At 35.8% G+C, this 18,908-nt stretch overlaps 1 protein-coding gene and 2 pseudogenes across 1 annotated transcript; all 3 read right to left on the reverse strand.

The window, feature by feature from the left end:
* Positions 1-1,551: 1,551 nt before the first annotated feature.
* On the reverse strand, positions 1,552-2,036 carry KRTAP19-5 (keratin associated protein 19-5). The gene has a single exon (NM_181611.3). The coding sequence runs from the start codon at positions 1,983-1,985 to the stop codon at positions 1,767-1,769; it is 219 nt and encodes a 72-aa protein (NP_853642.1). The 5' UTR covers positions 1,986-2,036; the 3' UTR covers positions 1,552-1,766.
* Positions 10,182-10,384, reverse strand: KRTAP19-9P (keratin associated protein 19-9, pseudogene; annotated as a pseudogene).
* On the reverse strand, positions 14,475-14,726 carry KRTAP19-10P (keratin associated protein 19-10, pseudogene; annotated as a pseudogene).

The following is an 18,908-nucleotide window of genomic DNA, read 5'->3' on the forward strand; positions in this document are numbered from 1 at the left end:
ACATAATAATATGTTATTGCATATTTTTCATGGGCAAGATACTTATCTGAAATACCAACACGAAAAGGCCCACATTTGCTTGTTAAAGGTTAAAAGAGACTTGGCTAGAGTGTATAAAGCTTCAGGTCAATCACAGCCTTAATATGAATTACTTCACAAGTGATGGCAATGATTTCTATATTTCCTAGGTGTGTTGCAAAATATAAATGTGCTGATAATATGAAAATACAACTTCGTGTCACACCACAATGGACCAGGAATAAAACATGATAGAAAGTCACAAAAGGGCTGGGCGCGGTGGCTCACGCCTGTCAACCCAGCACTTTGGGAGGTTGAGGCGGGCGGTTCACCAGGTCAGGCGATCGAGACCATCCTGGCTAACATGGTGAAACCCCTTCTCTACTAAAAATACAAAAAATTGGCCAGGCGTGGTGGCGGGTGCCTGTAATCCCAGCTACTTGGGAGGCCTTGGCAGGAGAATGGCGTGAACCTGGGAGGTGGAGCTTGCAGTGAGCCGAGATTGCACCACTGCACTCCAGCCTGGGTGACAGAGCAAGACTCCATCTCAAAAAAAAAAAAAAGTCACAAAAATAAGTTCTTTTTCAGTGTATATTCAGATATATACTTTGTTTTATCAGCACTTTTCTTACCATTAAAGGGGCCATATAAACATACATTTTGAACAAACTATAGAAATACATACTCTTCATGTTGGTCTCCAGTTAAATGTGAAAGTTTATGAAGTTGGTATTTCAAGGCTGAATTTAAACACTAACATGATCTCACTGAAAGCATTGAAATGAAAAAGATATGGTGAATATGGCGCAGTGTTCCAAAGAAAAAGCCTTCTTTTTAATTGAGTGTTATGGTTTTCATTTGTGCATGTACAGTTTACCTTTGGACAACATGGGCTTGGACTGAGTGAATCCACTCATACTGAGATTTTGTTCTACCTCTGCCACTCCTGAGATAGCAAGACCATCGTCCCCGTTCCTCCTCCTCCTCAGCCTATTCAATGTGAAGACAATGAGGATAAAGACCTTTATGATGAGTCGCTTCCACTTAACAAACAGTAAATATAAATTCTCTTCCTTATTATTTTCATAACATTTTCTTTTCTCTTATTTACTTTATTGTAAGAATACAGTATATAATGCATATAAAACACAAAGTATGTGTTAATCAACTGTTTATGTTATCAGTGAGGCTTCCAGTCAACAGTCGGCTACCAGTAGTTAGGTTTCTGGAGAGTCAAAAGTTATATGTGGATTTTCAACTGCATGGGGGAATCAGTACTGCTAACCCCTACATTATTCAAGGGTCAACTGTGACCTTTGAATGTGAATATATACATGCACACACATACATACAGCTATATAGATAGGTGCATGTATATACAAAATTATTTTGTTATATATAATATACTTCTATATGTATAGTAGTTTGTTCTTTTTTCACTGGATATAATTACAAATAACCACTTTGCCATTTTGAGTCAAGCAAAAAACAAAAGTCGTGTATTTGCTTTCAGTTAGCATAATTTATTCTAAAAGGAACAGAGAAACCCCACAGTTATAAAGGTACAAGTAAGACACATCCAGAGACATAAAGCAAAGAATTATGGAATGATAGGTATTCTTAAACCTCTTAGATGCTAACTGCTCTTGATCTTGGCTTGATCCAGGGTGACCTCGTTTGTTTGTTATTGCAGTCAGGTTTGGGTGATCTTCTTATGTCCCCTCATGTTAGGTTGTCAGGGAAGGATTTCAATAAAATCCAGAGAATCCATATCCTCCATAGCATGATGGACGGCAGCTGCGGTATCCATAGCCTCCGAAGCCAGAGCCGTATCCGTAGCCTCCGTAGCCACCGCCATAGCCCAGTCTGCGGAAGCTGCCACATCCACAGCCATAGCCATAGCCCAGGTCATCGAAGCCTCCGTAGCCGTAGCCCAGGCCTCCATAGTAGTTGCCGTAGTAGTTCATGGTGTCAGGAGTGGTGAGTTGGTATGCTGCTCAAGGCAAGATCCTGAGTGTGAACACCAGCATGTGTAGGAGGCTTATATACCCTGGTCAGAGCGTGTGATGAGTCATCTGTATACCCTCCTTTGCTATAGTTATTTGTATTACGTTTGATGTTACAACTCATTTATCTATTGTCTTCTGATGTAGGGAGATGCCCTCATTCTCATTAAAATATTTCAGCTTACTTAATGTCTTATTCAGGACACGATTGAACTTACTGCTTTGCTTTTATGAAAAGAAAGGGCTTACTGTTCAAAATATGCACATTCCAAATGCTCAACAGAATTGCCTATTACCAGGTGTATTACATCATCTACACTTTATGGTATTCCTTTTATAATGAATAATTTCCTTTGTCCGTCATCTTCCAAACTGATAACTTCATATTCAACTAAATTTACAGCTGTTTTTTCAATTTACAGATGTTAAATCTATAGTTTTAAAAAGCAAACTTATTTATCAAGGTGAGGTCTTCAGAAAGTGCCTATATGCACAATACAGGAAAACATTTGAAATCAAAATGATTTTAATGCCCTGCTGTGTACAATCGCCAAAGGACTCAAAAAAAGAGAGTGTATGCTGATTTTTAGCATTTTATTCACAATAACTTTTATACTATTTTTGACTTTGCACACCAGCTTCAGAACCTTTTGGTTGCAAAATACATAAGAATTAATTTCAGAAATTGAGGGCACAAAATCCATCTCCTACGCAGACTTATCAGAGTAGCACTTTAGTTTTCCATTCAAGTCCTAAAACTCTCCTTTATAATTGGTTTTATTCAAAGTCCTGGTAAAATTGCAGATTGCATCTGCCTCTGTTTTGCACATTCTAGTCAATTACTTTCTTTCTTTATCATTTTTCAGTAGTGTATATATGACCTCTATTTCCTTTCTCATTTCAGCTTTTATTCTTCTTCCCATTTTCTTAATGTCTATAGAAACAGCCAGGTAGAAGTTTATTGCATACATTCCCTCTGTCTTCCATCGACTTATCTCAACGCTTTTTTTTTTCTATCTCCTCTTTGTATTCACTGTAACATCTTTCCTGATTTTTTTGTTTGTTTGTTTTTTGAGACGGAGTCTCACTCTGTCGCCCAGTCTGGAGTGCAGTGGCACCATCTCGGCTTACTACAAGCTCCGCCTCCCGGGTTCACGCCATTCTCCTGCCTCAACCTCCCCAGTAGCTGGGACTACAGGCGCCCGCCACCACGCCTGGCTATTTTTTTTGGATTTTTAGTACAGACGGGGTTTCACCATGTTAGCCAGAATGGTCTTGATCTCCTGATCTCGTGATCTGCCCGCCTCGGCCCCGCAAAGTGCTAGGATTACAGGCGTGATTCTGATGTTCTTCTATGTCTATCCTGTACTCATTTATTCTGAGGTAATTTCTAACCACTGCCTACTGATCTGTTAATAGTTCATTAAAATATCATTTTTAAAGCTTTCTATTTTTTGTACTTACTAAACATCCTCAACTCCCCACCCCAGCAAAAATACTTAGAAATAATGAATAAGACCTACTATTTGATAGCACAATAGAGTGACTATAGTCAATAACAACTTAATTGTACATTTTAAAATGTCTTGAGTAAAATTAGACTGTTTGTTAACTCAACAGATAAATACTTGAGGGGATGGGTTTTTTAAAATGTACTCCAACTCCTATGGCTTTCTGAAATTTAAAAGGTATCCTAAAATAGAAATTGTCTTCAAAGTTTTCAAAATAAAGGCACCATGGTGAAATGGCACAGAATAGAGAAACATATGTAAAGAAATTTGCCCTGGGCTTCATAGAGTTCCTCAGCTGACTTTGTTGAATTAGTGAAACAGATACAACATTGAGACCACTCTTGATTAATCTCCATGCAGCACCTGTCTCTTGGCTTCGACAACTAAAAATTCATTTAATTTACATGACTTTGAACATGCTGGTGAGTTTTTGTGAGATTTATAAGTATTTTATCAAACATAAATTTCCTAAAAGGAATGCTTCAGTTCTTCTAAGCAACAGACTAGGGAATTAAAAATTGTTTATTGAAGAAATTCTAAGTAAATTGACAGTAACTGCCACAGCAACCACAATCTGTGCACAACCCTGACTACGCCTTAGTGAGCTACCTTTTTAAGACAGAAAAATAGCTCAATAAGTCTTTCCATTTATAGAGTAGGATTTAATCCAATATTTGCTACATTTCTTTTATCCAAATATTGGTTCATTCTTATTTCTCATCTGAACTTGAAACAGTCAATAAGCTGAGTTCTCAGTGAGTCCTTTTGAAGCCATAAAATCACAAATAACTCAAAATCACAAATAACTATATTAAGGATACCACAGTTTGTCCATATAAATCAGCCTGATAATGTAAGAGTGTTTAATAGCTAATTTTTGTTTGGGATGCATAAACAATGCATACATCTGAGATATAAAACCAAACAAGATATAAATGGAAAACCTCAATAGCCAAATAAGAATTAGAATGTTTTAAAGAAATAGACTATGTGATAATTTTCCACAAGACCAATTAATGATCGTAAGCAGTAAATGATTAATACTAAAATAAAATATATAAATCTACATATTTTATATACAAAATATATAGAACAAATATTTTGTCCTTTTTTCGAAGTGAACAAATAGTAAAATGAAAGCATCCATTGTAAAATGAAGACATATATTCATTTGTAGTGATATTGGTTTTATGCTGAAAGAGATTGTTAGACTCAAAGTCGATTAGACCCAAAGTTGATAGAACAATGATGTTTTATATTTTCTCCTTCTTTTCACTTTTAGGAAGTTTACTTTGGAATATATGCTTAATAACTTTATGATAATGGATAAGGAAGAAGAAAATATGTTCTTACTTGGGATAAGTAGTAACTTTTACCTGGAAAGAAAGAAAGCTTTTGTTATAAATTCCAAAGACTTCGTTTAACTCAGACACAAACTAATAATATATAAAAATGTAAGTTACAAAAATATGTTAATATTGAATTATACCAGCAATGCCACAAGTGCTTTTTCTCATTATAATTATACTGATCTTTCTTTTAATTGCAAATTTTTAATACTTTTACTCAGGCTGGGAGGATATTTACCTGTATGAGAATAGAGCAGTTTCATCTGAAATTCAGTTATAGGGTCAAAATTCCTTTAATGAAATTACCAAAATTTATCTACCTTGCCCTCCCCTGTGAAGGTACAGCATCTAAAGAGAGAAATAACAAGATTTGTCTGAGTTGTTTGTTCATATTTCATCTTTACATTGCATAAACAAACCCAAGTATTTCTCATAAAAATAAATAATCTTGAGAATTGAGCTTATTTGTTCTGTTTTTGCCTTCAAGTAAAGCTAAGTTAGCAATTCAGAAATGTATTATATATAACAAAATAAAAGTTAACAAGAAAAATTTTAAAAACAACAGCAACAAAACATAGTTAATCTAAGAGATGAAATTAGTCTCCATATACTCTGCTCCAAAATTGAAACCATCCACAGTATTATTACAAGAACTTTCCAGATGGCATTCAGATTTGGAATTATGCAGTGAAAGAGACTCAGAATGATGGACTAGAGCATTAGGTTCAGGTGAACTGCTTTCTGGTCTTGATTCTGACACTTAGATTTTAACTCTAGGCATCACTTAACTGTTCGGCATTTCCTCACCTGTACTATAGGGGGCAGCACGGTACAATCTGTAATAATCTAACGTTTGGTCCAGCTCTCACTTCTTTTGTCCTTGTATTATTGAATTTCCCCAGGAAGGGGTCCAGTTTCAGTTTCTGCAAATGGCTAGCCAGTTTTCCAAGCATCATTTATTAAATAGGGAATCCTTTCCCCATTGCTTGTTTTTGTCAGGTTTGTTGAAGATCAGATGGTTGTAGATGTGTGGTGTTATTTCTGAGGTCTGGGTTTTGTTCTATTAGTGTGTATATCTGTTTTGGTACCAGTACCATGCTATTTTGGTTGCTGTAGCCTTGTAGTATAGTTTAAAGTCAGGTAGCGTGATGTCTCCAGCTTTGTTCTTTTTGCTTAGGATTGTCTTAGCTATGCAGGCTCATTTCTGGTTCCATATGAAGCTTAAAGTAGTTTTTTCCAATTCTGCTGAGAAAGTCAATGGTAGCTTGATGGGAATAGCATTGAATCTATAAGTTACTTTGGGCAGTATGGCTATTTTCATGATATTGATACTTCCTATCATGAGCATGGAATGTTTTTCCATTTCTTTGTGTCCTCTCTTGTTTCCTTGAGTACTGGTTTGTAGTTTTCCTTGAAGAGGTCCTTCACGTCCCTTGTAAGTTGTAATCCTAGCTATTTTCTTCATTTTGTAGCAGTTGTGAATGGGATTTCATTTACGATTTGGCTCTCTGCTTGTCTGTTGTTGGTGTATAGGAATGCTTGTGATTTTTGCACAATGATTTTCGATCTTGAGACTTTGCTAAAGTTGTTTATCAGCTTAAGGAGTTTTGGGGCTGAGACGATGGGGTTTTCTAAATACAGAATCATGTCATTTGCAAAGAGAGACAATTTGACTTCCTCTATTCCTATTTAAGTAGCCTTTATTTCTTTATCTTGCCTGATTGCCCTGGCCAGAACTTCCAATACTATGTCAAATAGGAGCAGTGAGAGAGGGCATCCTTGTTTTGTGCTGGTTTTCAAAGGGAATTCTTCCAGCTTTTGTCCATTCAGTATGATATTGGCTATGGGTATCTCACAAATAGCTCTTATTATTTTGAGATATGTTCCATCAATACCTAGTTTGTTAAGAGTTTTTAACATGAAGGGATGTTGAATTTTATCGAAGACTTTTTCTACATCTATTGAGATAATCATGTGGTTTTTGTCATTGGTTCTGTTTATGTGACAGATTACGTTTATTGACTTGCATATGGTGAACCAGCCTTGCATCCCATGGATGAAGCCGACTTGATCATGGTGGATAAGCTTTTTGATGTGCTGCTAGATTCAGTTTGCCAGTATTTTGTTGAGGATTTTTGCATCGATGTTCATCAGGGATAATGGCCTGAAATTTTTTTTTTTTGTTATGTCTCTGCCAGGTTTGGTATCGGGATGCTGCTGGCCTCATAAAATGAGTTATGGAGGAGTCTTTCTTTTTCTATTGTTTGGAATAATTTCAGAAGGAATGGAACCAGCTCTTCTCTGTACCTCTTGTAGAATTTGGCTGTGAATCCATCTGGTTCTGGGCTTTTTTTGGTTGGTAGACTATTAATTACTGCCGCAATTTCAGAAGTTGTTATTGGTCTTTTCAGGGATTTAACTTCTTCCTAGTTAAGTTTTGAGAGCATGTGTGTGTATAGGAATATATCCATTTCTTCTAGATTTTTTAGTTTATTTGTGTAGAGGTTTTTATTGTATTCTCTGATTGCAGTTTGTATTTATGTGAGATCAGTGGTGATATCCCCTTTATCATTTTTTATTGTGTCGATTTGATTCTTCTCTCTTTTCTTCTTTATTAGTCTAGCTAGTGGAATATCTAATTTGTTAATTTTTTTTCAAAAAACCAGCTCCTGGATTCATTGATTTTTTTCATGGGATTTTTGTGTCTCTATCTCCTTCAGTTCTGCTCTGATCTTAGTTATTTCTTGTCTTCTGGTAGCTTTTAAATTGGTTTGCTCTTGCTTCTAAGTTATTTGCCTAGCAGGAAACATAGGCAATACCATTCAGGACAGAGACATGGGCAAAAACTTCATGACTAAAACACCAAAAGCAATTGCAACCAAAGCCAAACTTGACAAACGGGGTATAGTTAAACTAAAGAGTTTCCTCACAGCAAAAGAAACTAGAATCAGAGTGAACAGGCAGTGGGAGAAATTTTTTGCAGTCTACCCATCTGACAAATGTCTAATATCCATAATCTACAAGTAACTTAAACAAATTTACGAGAAAAAAACAAACAACCCCATCAAGAAGTGGGCAAAGGATATGAACAGACACTTCTCCAAAGAAGACATTTATGCGGCCAACAAACATATGAAAAAAAGCTCATCATCACTTATCATTAGAGAAATGCGTATAAAAATCATTATGAGATACCACCTCCCACCTGTCAAAATGGCGATTATTAAAAAATCAGGAAACAATAGATGCTGGCGAGAGTGTGGAGAAATAGGAACACTTTCACACTGTTGGTGGGAGTGTAAATTATTTCAACCATTGTGGAGAACAGTGTGGTGATTCCTGAAGGATCTAGAACCAGTAATACCATTTGACCCAGCAACCCCATTACTGGGTGTATACCCAAAGGATTATAAATCATTCTACTATAAAGACACATGCACACGTATGTTTATTGCAGCACTACTTAATAGCAAAGACTTGGAACCAATCCAAATGCCCATCAATGATAGACTGGATGAAGAAAATGTGGTACATATAAACCATAGAATATTATGCAGCCATAAAAAATAATGAGATCATGTCCTTTCCAGCGACATGGATGAAGCCGAAAGCCATTATTCTCAGCAAACTAACACAGGAGCAGAAAACCAAACACTGCATTGTTCTCACTCACAAGTGGGGGTTGAACAATGAGAACACATGGACACAGGGAGGGAAGCAACACACACGGGGGCCTGTCAGGGGGTGGGAGGAAAGGGGAGGGATAGCATTAGGACAAATACCTAATGCATGTGGGATTTAAGACCTAGATGACAGGTTGATAGGTGCCACAAACCACTATGGCATATGTATACCTATGTTATAATCCTGCACATTCTGCACATATATCCTGGAACTTAAAGTAAAATTTTTAAAAAAAAGAAAGAATTGCTTTCTGGTGAATGGTAATTGATTTAAAATCTACTTTACCAAAACAAAACAAAACAATAAGTCTTTTGGATGAATGATGACTGTCATCAATTAAAGCTGCAAAGTGCAGAGGGACCCATTTCTTGATTATATCCAGCCATTTATTTTCCATTTGCAATTGTAAAAAGCTTTAGTGTCATGAGGATGATGATGATTGTAAAAAGAAAGCATATCATTGAATGCCACAGAGGAACTGTGACATAAAAAAACTAATTAAAACAATTATTTTTAATACTACATATATTTTAATCACCTAATTTGAAAAACTTTTAGTAACTTTATAACACAACCATTTTCATGATAATTCTAAGTTAAATGACAGGCAATAGAGAATAGATCAAAGAAGATTATATAGAATCAAGAAAGCCATGAAACATATATTTTCTTTCCTGGAAGCTTAGAGAAATATTTTGTTCTAGCACTCTTCCTTTCTTACCACAAAAGGGCTGAATAAGCAACACATTTTGAAAGAAGAAATGGATTACTTATATATTTGGACTGCATTGATAAATATAATTGTATAGAATTAAAACCATGTAAATCCCTTTTATTTATTACCATAAACATATAGTTCCAAAATGTTGGAGTTGAATTTTTTATTGTTGTTGAGTTTAAATCTAAAAATTATCTAATTAAAAGCTAGGAAATAAAAATCACTTATATTTGGCCAGGCATGGTGGCTCACACCTTTAATCCCAGCACTTTTGGAGGCCGAAGTGGGTGGATCAGTTGAGGCCAGGAGCTCAAGACCAGCCTGGCTAACATGGTGAAACCCCATCTCTACAGCAAAAATACAAAAATTAGCCAACTGTGGTGGCACATGCCTGTAGTCCCAGCTACTAGGAAGGCTGAGGCATGAGAATTGCTTGAAACTTGAAGGCGGGGGCTGCAGTGAGCTGAGATCGCACCACTGCACTCTGTAGCCTGGACAACAGAGTGACACTCTCCAAAAAAATTACATATATTCAAGGAATCATCATTCAACTCAGTCTAAAGTTACTGTCCTTTTCATATATCTATCATTGTGTGAAATAAATATTTAATACACAGATAGTGTTTTAGTTTTCACATTGAAAGTTGAGTAGTATTTATACTTAGTAACATATATAATTGAGCCAAATGAATTAAACAAAAGCTATATTTGCTGTGTCTCGAGAGACTTCATTAAAGAAATCCAGGAGAAAAGATGGAGACAAACTTGTACAATTATAAATGTACTGAAAGTCTTAGGTGCTAATTAATTTAAACAAACAGACTTGGCATAATTTTGAAAGGTAGGTCCAATGATTGAAATCAGGCTTATCAAGTTCACTCAGGGAATCAGATGTTAGATTGATAAGGAAGAATTTTAATAGAAGCTAAAGAATCCATGTCTTCCCTAACAGGATGAGTGGCTGCAGCCGTATCTATAGCCTCCATTGCCACAGCTATACCCTGGTTTACAGTGCTACCACATCTACAGCCATAGCCACATCCCAGACCACCAAAGCCTCCACAGCCTTAGCCCAGACCTCTGTAATAGTTACCTTAGTAATTCACGAGGTTAGGAGTTAAAGGCTTGGTTTGCTATTGATGGTGTGCTTTCTAAGTATGAATCTCCACACCTGTGCAGAGGTTTTATATCCTATGTTATGGATGTAGTAAATTATTCAGATTTACCTCATTTTCATTACTCAGGAGAAATTACATGAAACACATATTACTGGCTCTCTGTTTTGTTTAGCATGCATGGAATTACTTTCCATTGCAATATAACTTTTAAATTAATTTCTAGTTCAATTATGATTTCCCTGATTAAATTGTATCTATAATGAGAAATGTTATTTGCAATTTCAAAGACTATTCTTACATCAGGACACACATAATCTCCACCTAATGTAGGCTTCCGAGCATCTCTATAATCCAGTTGAGCAGCTGTATGACATCGTCATCAAGGTGATACTTCTTTCCTGCATATGCTTTCTGTAATTTCTCATGTTCATGACTATGCCTTATCATTTGAGATAAGCAGGGCCCTAATTTTACCTTAAATCCATGCCTCTTTCAAAACTGTAATCACTTAAATGTCAGGTAGTTATAATATTAATATACAAACAAATTTTACTTGACTTCTGTGCAGTTTGAGTCCACATGGAAGCCATCTTGTTAAAAGTGTCTCTCATGTTTTTTATACCAGATTAAATATATATTTTTCTTTGTTAAGGGTTTACACATGATACCAATGGGCATTTGATATTCCACAGCCTGGTATCCACATTTCATTTTTGAGAACATACTGTATAATAACTTGGGATGTATTTGAAGTTTTCCCGGGAAGAGATCACCACGCAGCATTAAGATAATTAGGGTGATATAAAAAGTCACAAAACATTTCATGTTCTGACTTTATTCTATTATCTCAATTTTGGATTCTATTGAGATATATCAAAATTCTAGTTAGAAGCACAATTCCAAGTCAACCAAAACATTAGTGCTGGCCCTACCCCGGGCAAGACTAATACAACAGAATATAAACTAGCCTGATTTTCTAAAGTCTTTACTAATGCCAAATAAGATAGGAATTAAATGTTTTCTACTGCTTTCTGCAGCAAAATACACTCAAACTGCATGGAAGGAGTCAACAAATTCCTCAAAATAAAAGTTAACTAAAACTAACACAAGTAGAAATAAAGAATTGTAAAGTGCTACATCTCTTTAAAAAATTAAATTTATGTAAAAACAAGAAAGGCAGGCCAGGTATGGTGGCTTGCCTCTGTAATCACAGCACTTTGGGAGGCCAAGGCAGGTGGATCACTTGAGGTCCAGAGTCTGAGACCAGCCTGACCAACATGGTGAAACCTGTCTCTACTAAAACATACAAAAATTAGCTGAGTGCGGTGGCACACATCTGTAAACCCAGCTATGCGGGAGGCTGAGGTAGAAGAATGGGAAATAATGCCCCTGGGAGGCAGAGGTTTCAGTGAGCCATGATCAGGCCACTGAGCTCCAGCCTGGGTGACAGAGCGAGTGAGATACCATCTCAAAAAATAAAAATAAAAATAAAAAAGAAAGGCAGACTTCTAACAAAGAAAACTGCAGGTCAACATGGTGAATTCTAGCAACGGTTTTAAAAGAAATAGTAGTATTTTATACAGTTTTTTCCTCAATCTACAAATTCAAGATGCAATAATAAATGAAAAATTGGAAAATAAAATGCAAAAATATTAGCAATATTTTCAGACAACATAAAATACAGGTAAAAGTAACAAAGACATATTCCTTGATAATTACAAATTAATGCTTGAAGAAATTCATAAGAACTGTTAAAATGAGGGTATATCATGTCTACGTATTGACAACAGACTAAATATTCCCAAATTATATATTTAGCAAAATCATAATCAAACTGCCTGTATATTTACAAAATATTCTAAAATGTATAAAGAAATCCAAAGGACATAGAATACACAATGCAATCTTTAAAAAATAACAAAGTTTGACAACTTATATTAACTGATGTCAAGACTGATTATACTAGAATCATCAAGAGAGTGCAGTATTGATGTGAGGATACATAAATAGATCGATGGGAAAAATTAGAGTCTAGAAATAGACCTTTTTTCTACAAAGACTCTAAAGCAAAAAAAAAGACTCCATCAAATGGTGCTGAAACAATGGAATATTAACATGGAACAAGGAAATAAATAGCCTTAATAACTACTTAATACTATACACAGAAATTAATTTAAAATGTTTTATAGATCTAAGCATGATAGCTAAACTACTAAAGCTTCTAGAATTTTATAGGACAGTGAAGGCACTGGCTATGAAATAAAACATAGTGAAATTAATTTTATTAACAGTAAACAGATTAGGAGAATCAAAAACTAAGAATATATACATTGATATAGATATAGATACAAATATCACCTGTAAAGATCTGCTACTACCTAAATGTCAACAGAAAAGCATCCCAATGATTTGGGCTCATTGAAAGCAAGATGTGCAAATAGCCAATAAATAAAAAGTGTTAACATCATTAGGTATCAGAATTATTAGGAAAATGTGAATTAAAACCACATTTTTAATTCCAAGCACGGTGGCTCACGCCTGTGATCCCAGCGCTTTGGGAGGCCGAGGCGGGAAGATCAGATGGTCAGGAGTTCAAGACCAGCTTGGCCAACGTGGTAAAACCCTGTCTCTACCAAAAAAAAAAAAAAAAAAAAATTAGCCAGGCATGGTGGCGTGTGCCTGTAATCCCAGCTACTTGGGAGGCAGGAGAATTGCTTGAACCTGGGATGCGGAGATTGCAGTGAGCTGAGAACGCAACAGTGCACTCCAGCCTGGGCAACAGTGTAAGACTCTTGTCACACTCACACAATAACAAAAAAAGAACCACAGTTGGATAACACTACTCACACATTAGAAGTGCTAAAATGAAAAACAAAGTATATTTTTTCTAATTAATAAGCTATGATTTAGATTAATCGTGATTTATATAAAATTTCCCAACAGGTTAATTTCAAAATGTTTCTAACATGCATTAGTGCAATTTTCAACTCATTTACCATGGTAATGCCTGAATTGAAATTATGACTTTCTGTTAGATTTCCAAAAGAGTAAATCCAAGGTTTTGATACATAGCATAGTACTTCAATACATTCTGTTAACATGCTTCATTTAAAGCAATAAAACAGTGAAAAATAACAAGAGTCCATGGAAAAGGAAAGCAGTCCCCAAAAGTGCTGGCTAATGAGCAGATTACATTATCCTCACCCTACGAATGACTCACAAGGCAGCTAGTCAAAACAGAATCAATAGTAGGGAATGTGTGATAGGGTTAGTAGACTCTGGTTTTGTGATATAATATGAAGCTTCACATAGCTCCTTGATATAAATTTCCCTTAAGTCATTCAGAATAATGGATGTAACCAGAGGCCAAGTGACCAAATAAAGTTGTGATCAAGACTATTTATTATTCCAATCCAGGGACTTTAGCACCTAAATATTATTGCCATAAATTAGAGTTCACACCAACATAAATTTTGATTAAGAACTCAAAGTCATTTAAGTCATATTTATTGTCAAATAAGTACCTTCAGTGAAGATTGATAAGCCTCCTTGGGACTGGAAATCCGGGAGAAGGAGACTAGCAACTGGGAGAGACCAGTTATGTCTCTCCTTCAAACTCAATCTATGATATTTGTTTTTTGTTCATTTAACAATAGGAATAAATGGTATCCTTGAGAAGAAAAACAGTTGCCTTCATTTCAAATATCATAAAATAGGAGAAACTTATTAAGATATATGACTAAAGTTAAGACCATATTGCAATGTCACATTAAACACATCTATTGGAAAATAATTATAGAGGCATTTCCCAATGTAAAATACACCACAGAAAATCCAGATGAAAAATTAGTACCTTTGAGAATGAAAGGAGAAATAACTGTTGTAGGAAAATATCCAGTATTTATAGAGTAAATACAAATTGCTATTGAACAGCTAGATATACACAGACAGCTCTTGAATCTTATGCCAACAAGCTTGTAAAGCCAGTAATTCATCTTCCCTGCCTGCTATGAGCGGGGGATATATTTGAAAGGACACAACATTTGAAGAGTTGTATTTTGTTATTGGATCATTTTCCCAAGAATCTTAGGTCCCAACTCCGAGTAGAAAGCAGAGGCCCAGTATCTTCCATAACAATCTGGGTGGCAGCATTGTATCCATAACCACCATACCCAGAGTCATATCCATATCCTGCTCTGCAGAATCTGCCACATCCACAGACATTGCAATAGCACTGGGCATCAAAGTCACCAAAGCCAGACCCCAGCCTCCAACATCGATGCCAGAATAGCCCGTTGTTTAGAGTTGAAGTCTGATATTAAAAGATACTTAAACATCTTTAGTGATAGTGTGACAAGTCTTAGATACTCTCTATATAACATTTTTACCAAAGTGTACACATGAAACAATCTCAGTGATTTGTTTCTCCTTATTTAAGGAGGAGGCCTCATGTCTATTAAACCCTTGGCTTGCTTTGGCAGAACAATTAATACTTCCCAACTAGTGCTCTTAAATTTTATTACTATTTATAACATACTCATTGTGAGTTCAGATGTTGTATTTTTCATGTCTTTGAGGGGCGCATGATATCATGCTTTAAAATGTTATTTTGAATTTTTTTTCTCTGATGGAATATCTTAAGCATGTATGAAAAAGCAGATGGCTAGAATAGCAAGCTGTGGTAACTCTGAATTTACGTACTGGTATATTTTGTGCTCACAGCACAAATGATATTGTGATTTTACTTTTAGAAAAAAAATTCCTTAGTGTCAATTTAACACCCATTTCAAACTCATTCGTCTTCTCTACCTTTCTTCATTGATTATATCATGTTTTGTTGTGGGTATTTGAGACATGTCAGCATCTACTACTTCTCTCTAAACACCAGATAAGTAGATCTAGTAGAGTGTGTATTGGATTTCTCATTTATGCACAGACTGCCTACAACCTAAAGTATGTATTCAATATGTCTTTCTGAGTGAATGAATGTGATTTATTTGATTTGATTATATAGAGAATTCCCCTCCCTCTTATCCACAGGGTATATGTTCCAAGATCCCCAGTGGATGCCTGAAATCACAGATAATACTGAAATCTATATACCCTATGTTTCTTTTCCTATACATGCAAACTTATGATAAAGTTTAATTGATAAATTAGGCATAGTGAGAGATTAACAACAATAACTAACAATAAAATAGAACAATTGTAGCAATATGCCAGCATCAGGATTCTTGCACTTTGGGGATATTATGAAGTAAAGTAAGAGTCACTTGAATGCAAGCACTGTGATACGCCCACAGTTGGTCTCTTCATTGAAAGAGCTCTTGAGTAACTAACAGGCAGGGAGTGTCTACAGCCTGGATCCCCTGGACAGAGGATTCCTGTCCTGGGCTGGATGGAGCAGGACTGCACAAGATTTCATCATGCTACTTAGATTGGCAGGCAATTTAAAACTTATGAATTGTTTATTTCTGTGATTTCCCATTTAATATTTTCAGCTATAGTTGATGTCAAGTAACTGAAACCAAAGAAGGCAAAACTGCAGATAAAGAGGGACACCTGTTCACAATTCTACATCACCATGACAATGTATTTGGCACTCTGAGAGGTAGGGTGTATTAATTGGTTTTCATGCTGCCAATAAACACATACCCGAGGCTGGGCAATTTACAAAAGAAAGAGGTTTAATGGACTTAACAGTTCTACGTGGCTGGGGAGGTCTCACAAACATGGCAGAAGGTAAAAGGCACATCTCACATGGCAGCAGATCAGAAAAGAAAGCTGGTGCAGGGAAATTCCCCTTTTTAAAACGTTCAGATCTCCTGAGACTTATTCACTATCACAAGAACAGCTCAGGAAAGACCTGCCCCCATGATTCAATTACCTCCCACCAGGTCCCTCCCACAACACATGGGATTTCAAGATGAGATTTGGGTGGGGACACAGCCAAATCATATCACAGGGGTTTCTGCTTTTCATCTAGAAGTTCACTAATGCTCTGCTTTGGAAAAGTCTAACTTTCTTTCTCTGATGCTTTGATATGGTTTGGCTGTGTCTCCACCCAAATCTTATTTTGAATTGTAGCTCCCATAATTCCCATGTTTCGTGGCAGAGACCAAGTAGGAGGTAATTGAATCATGGGGGTGGGCCTTTCCCATGCTGTTCACGTGGTAGTGAATAAGTCTCATGAGATCTGATGGTTTTATGAAAGGAAGTTCCCCTGCACAAGCTCTCTTGCCTGCCGCCACGTAAGACATCCGTTTGCTCTTCCTTCATCTTCCGCCATGATTTTGAGGTCTCCCCAGCCATGTGGAACTGTGAATCCATTAAACCTCTTTCCTTTGTAAATAACACAGTCTTGGGTATGTCTTTACTGACAGCATGAGAATGGACTAATACACATTGCTAGATTAGTAAGCCTTCGTCCAAATGCAAGAGCTTATGTCTTCTTTCCTACTCTTTAAGCTTCTAACTTCCTAAGGAAGAACGTTTTCTTTAACAAAGTTTCTCTAACTCTGCTAAGAATGCACCAAAACTGGAATTCTTTTAGTGCCACAATTTTTCTATTTACCCTCATTTAACACTGAAAAGAAGGATCACCTGAAACCTGAAGTGTATTTGTAAGAGTCAATATTAATATTACTTGTATTCCAAACACATGAAATGTTTAGCACTCTTAATCTGTAACTCTTTTGAAAAATTAAGTTCTATCAAATAAGCAAAGTCCAAATATTCCTTGGAATATCTTGCCTCAATCACTTGAAAGAGTGATGTCCAAGGAAGTAACTCTGGGGGAAAAAAAAATCCCACTCCAAATGGGAAATTTAATTTTCTAATTGGGAATGTTCTTTATTTTTCATCAGTGGGGAGAGGGGTGAACTTATGATTTCATTAAAAGCTTTAATGAAACATCACTACAGAGATGGAATCAATAACTACATATTAGTAATTTAAGGGTTCTGAGATAAATATGAGTTTTGACTATAGGATCCACAATCATGCTGTTCACTCTGTTGCGACTGCAGCTGTTGCCACTCCTAGTTCTTGTGGAATTTTCCAATTAGGGTTATGTAGGCTTTTACAGAATCCAAAAAGAACTTACTAGAAAACCCCTTAGATTAAAGGATCTAGAAATTGAGCTTTCTGTTTCTAGGGTCAAGAAACATGAACAAATTTTTCAGTAGAAGTCAAATCCACATCTCCTGAAGCCAGAACAATAGCCAAGACCTCCTTAGCTAGAGCCTAAGCATCAGATGCTCCCACACTACAGCAAGTACCAGAGTCCAGGCCTTTCTTGCCTAAGCCCAGGCCTCCAAAGAAAGTAGTCCATAGTGTCACAAGATCTGTGAGTGTGGTTGAAGGTTGTCTAAGTTCCTCTGCATGTGAACTAACACCTGCAGAGTTGCTTTGATAGTCCCTCAGTGGTAGATGTGGCAAACCACACTAATTTACTTCAAGTTTATTCAAGACTGTTGTAATATAGAAATCCAATTAGACTATTTTCTTAATTAGAAGAGACTCAAATAAGGAAGCTTAAATTTTTAATTTAATTTTCCTACTGAGCTTGCTTTCCACCAAACCTATTATGCCCATAATGAGTAAAGTTGATGGACTTTGCAAAGTCAACCATGACTTAATTCTCCAGGAAATTCCACGTGAGTCTTCAGGGCATCAGGTAGCCCTCTAATTACATCACCTGAGGTGTGGCTCCCAATTCAGTTTATTTCCTTGACCACTTATTTTTCTCTAGATCAAATGAAGTGCATTATTTCTCTCTTTTCAATTTCTAAGACACATCTGAGGTCTATTATTCCTTAAAGTTGCAATGCTATATAATGTGCTTCATTGATATGGCATTTAATGTAACAAGTTTTCTGTTGTTCAAATTTTGTAAAACAGCTCATGTTGCATTTTAACATTATGTCCTGAATCTTGTTTTAATCTTTGGGTAAAAGTATTTTACGGGTGGGAATTTTGAGCTTCAAATTCTAGTAGGCAAGCAATAAGACTAGTATTTATTTAATATTTATGATTTATGTTCGAGTAAAATCAAGAAATAGCACATTTTCATATTCTTCTGTCAATGATACTTCCATTTCTTATATTAAAGAGTAGTAAAAAAGTAAATTGTTTCTTCCAAAATATTCTTTAGATTTACAAGTTTAAAACACTTTTATAATTTTGCTATGTTTTATTTGGTTATTGAAGCAAAATATACTTTATTATTTCATTTATAGTTTATTTACTAAAAGATATTATTTTCTTCCTCCCTTTTTCTATTCTCCCTTCTTTCTTCCATCCTTTCTCTCAACTTTGTTCTAATGCCATTTACATACACATGTACATACATATACACACATATATATATGTATATATATACAATAAAAGGTGAATCATACCTGGTTCTTCTGTTACAGAGTTTACTATTATTAAAATCAGTAGGAAATAAAGTATGTGTGTTATAATTCAATATTGTCAAAGTTGTGGTAGAATCTAAAAAT

The sequence above is a fragment of the Homo sapiens genome, chromosome 21 (assembly GCF_000001405.40).
Source record: "Homo sapiens chromosome 21, GRCh38.p14 Primary Assembly".
In the NCBI taxonomy this organism is placed as follows: domain Eukaryota; kingdom Metazoa; phylum Chordata; class Mammalia; order Primates; family Hominidae; genus Homo; species Homo sapiens.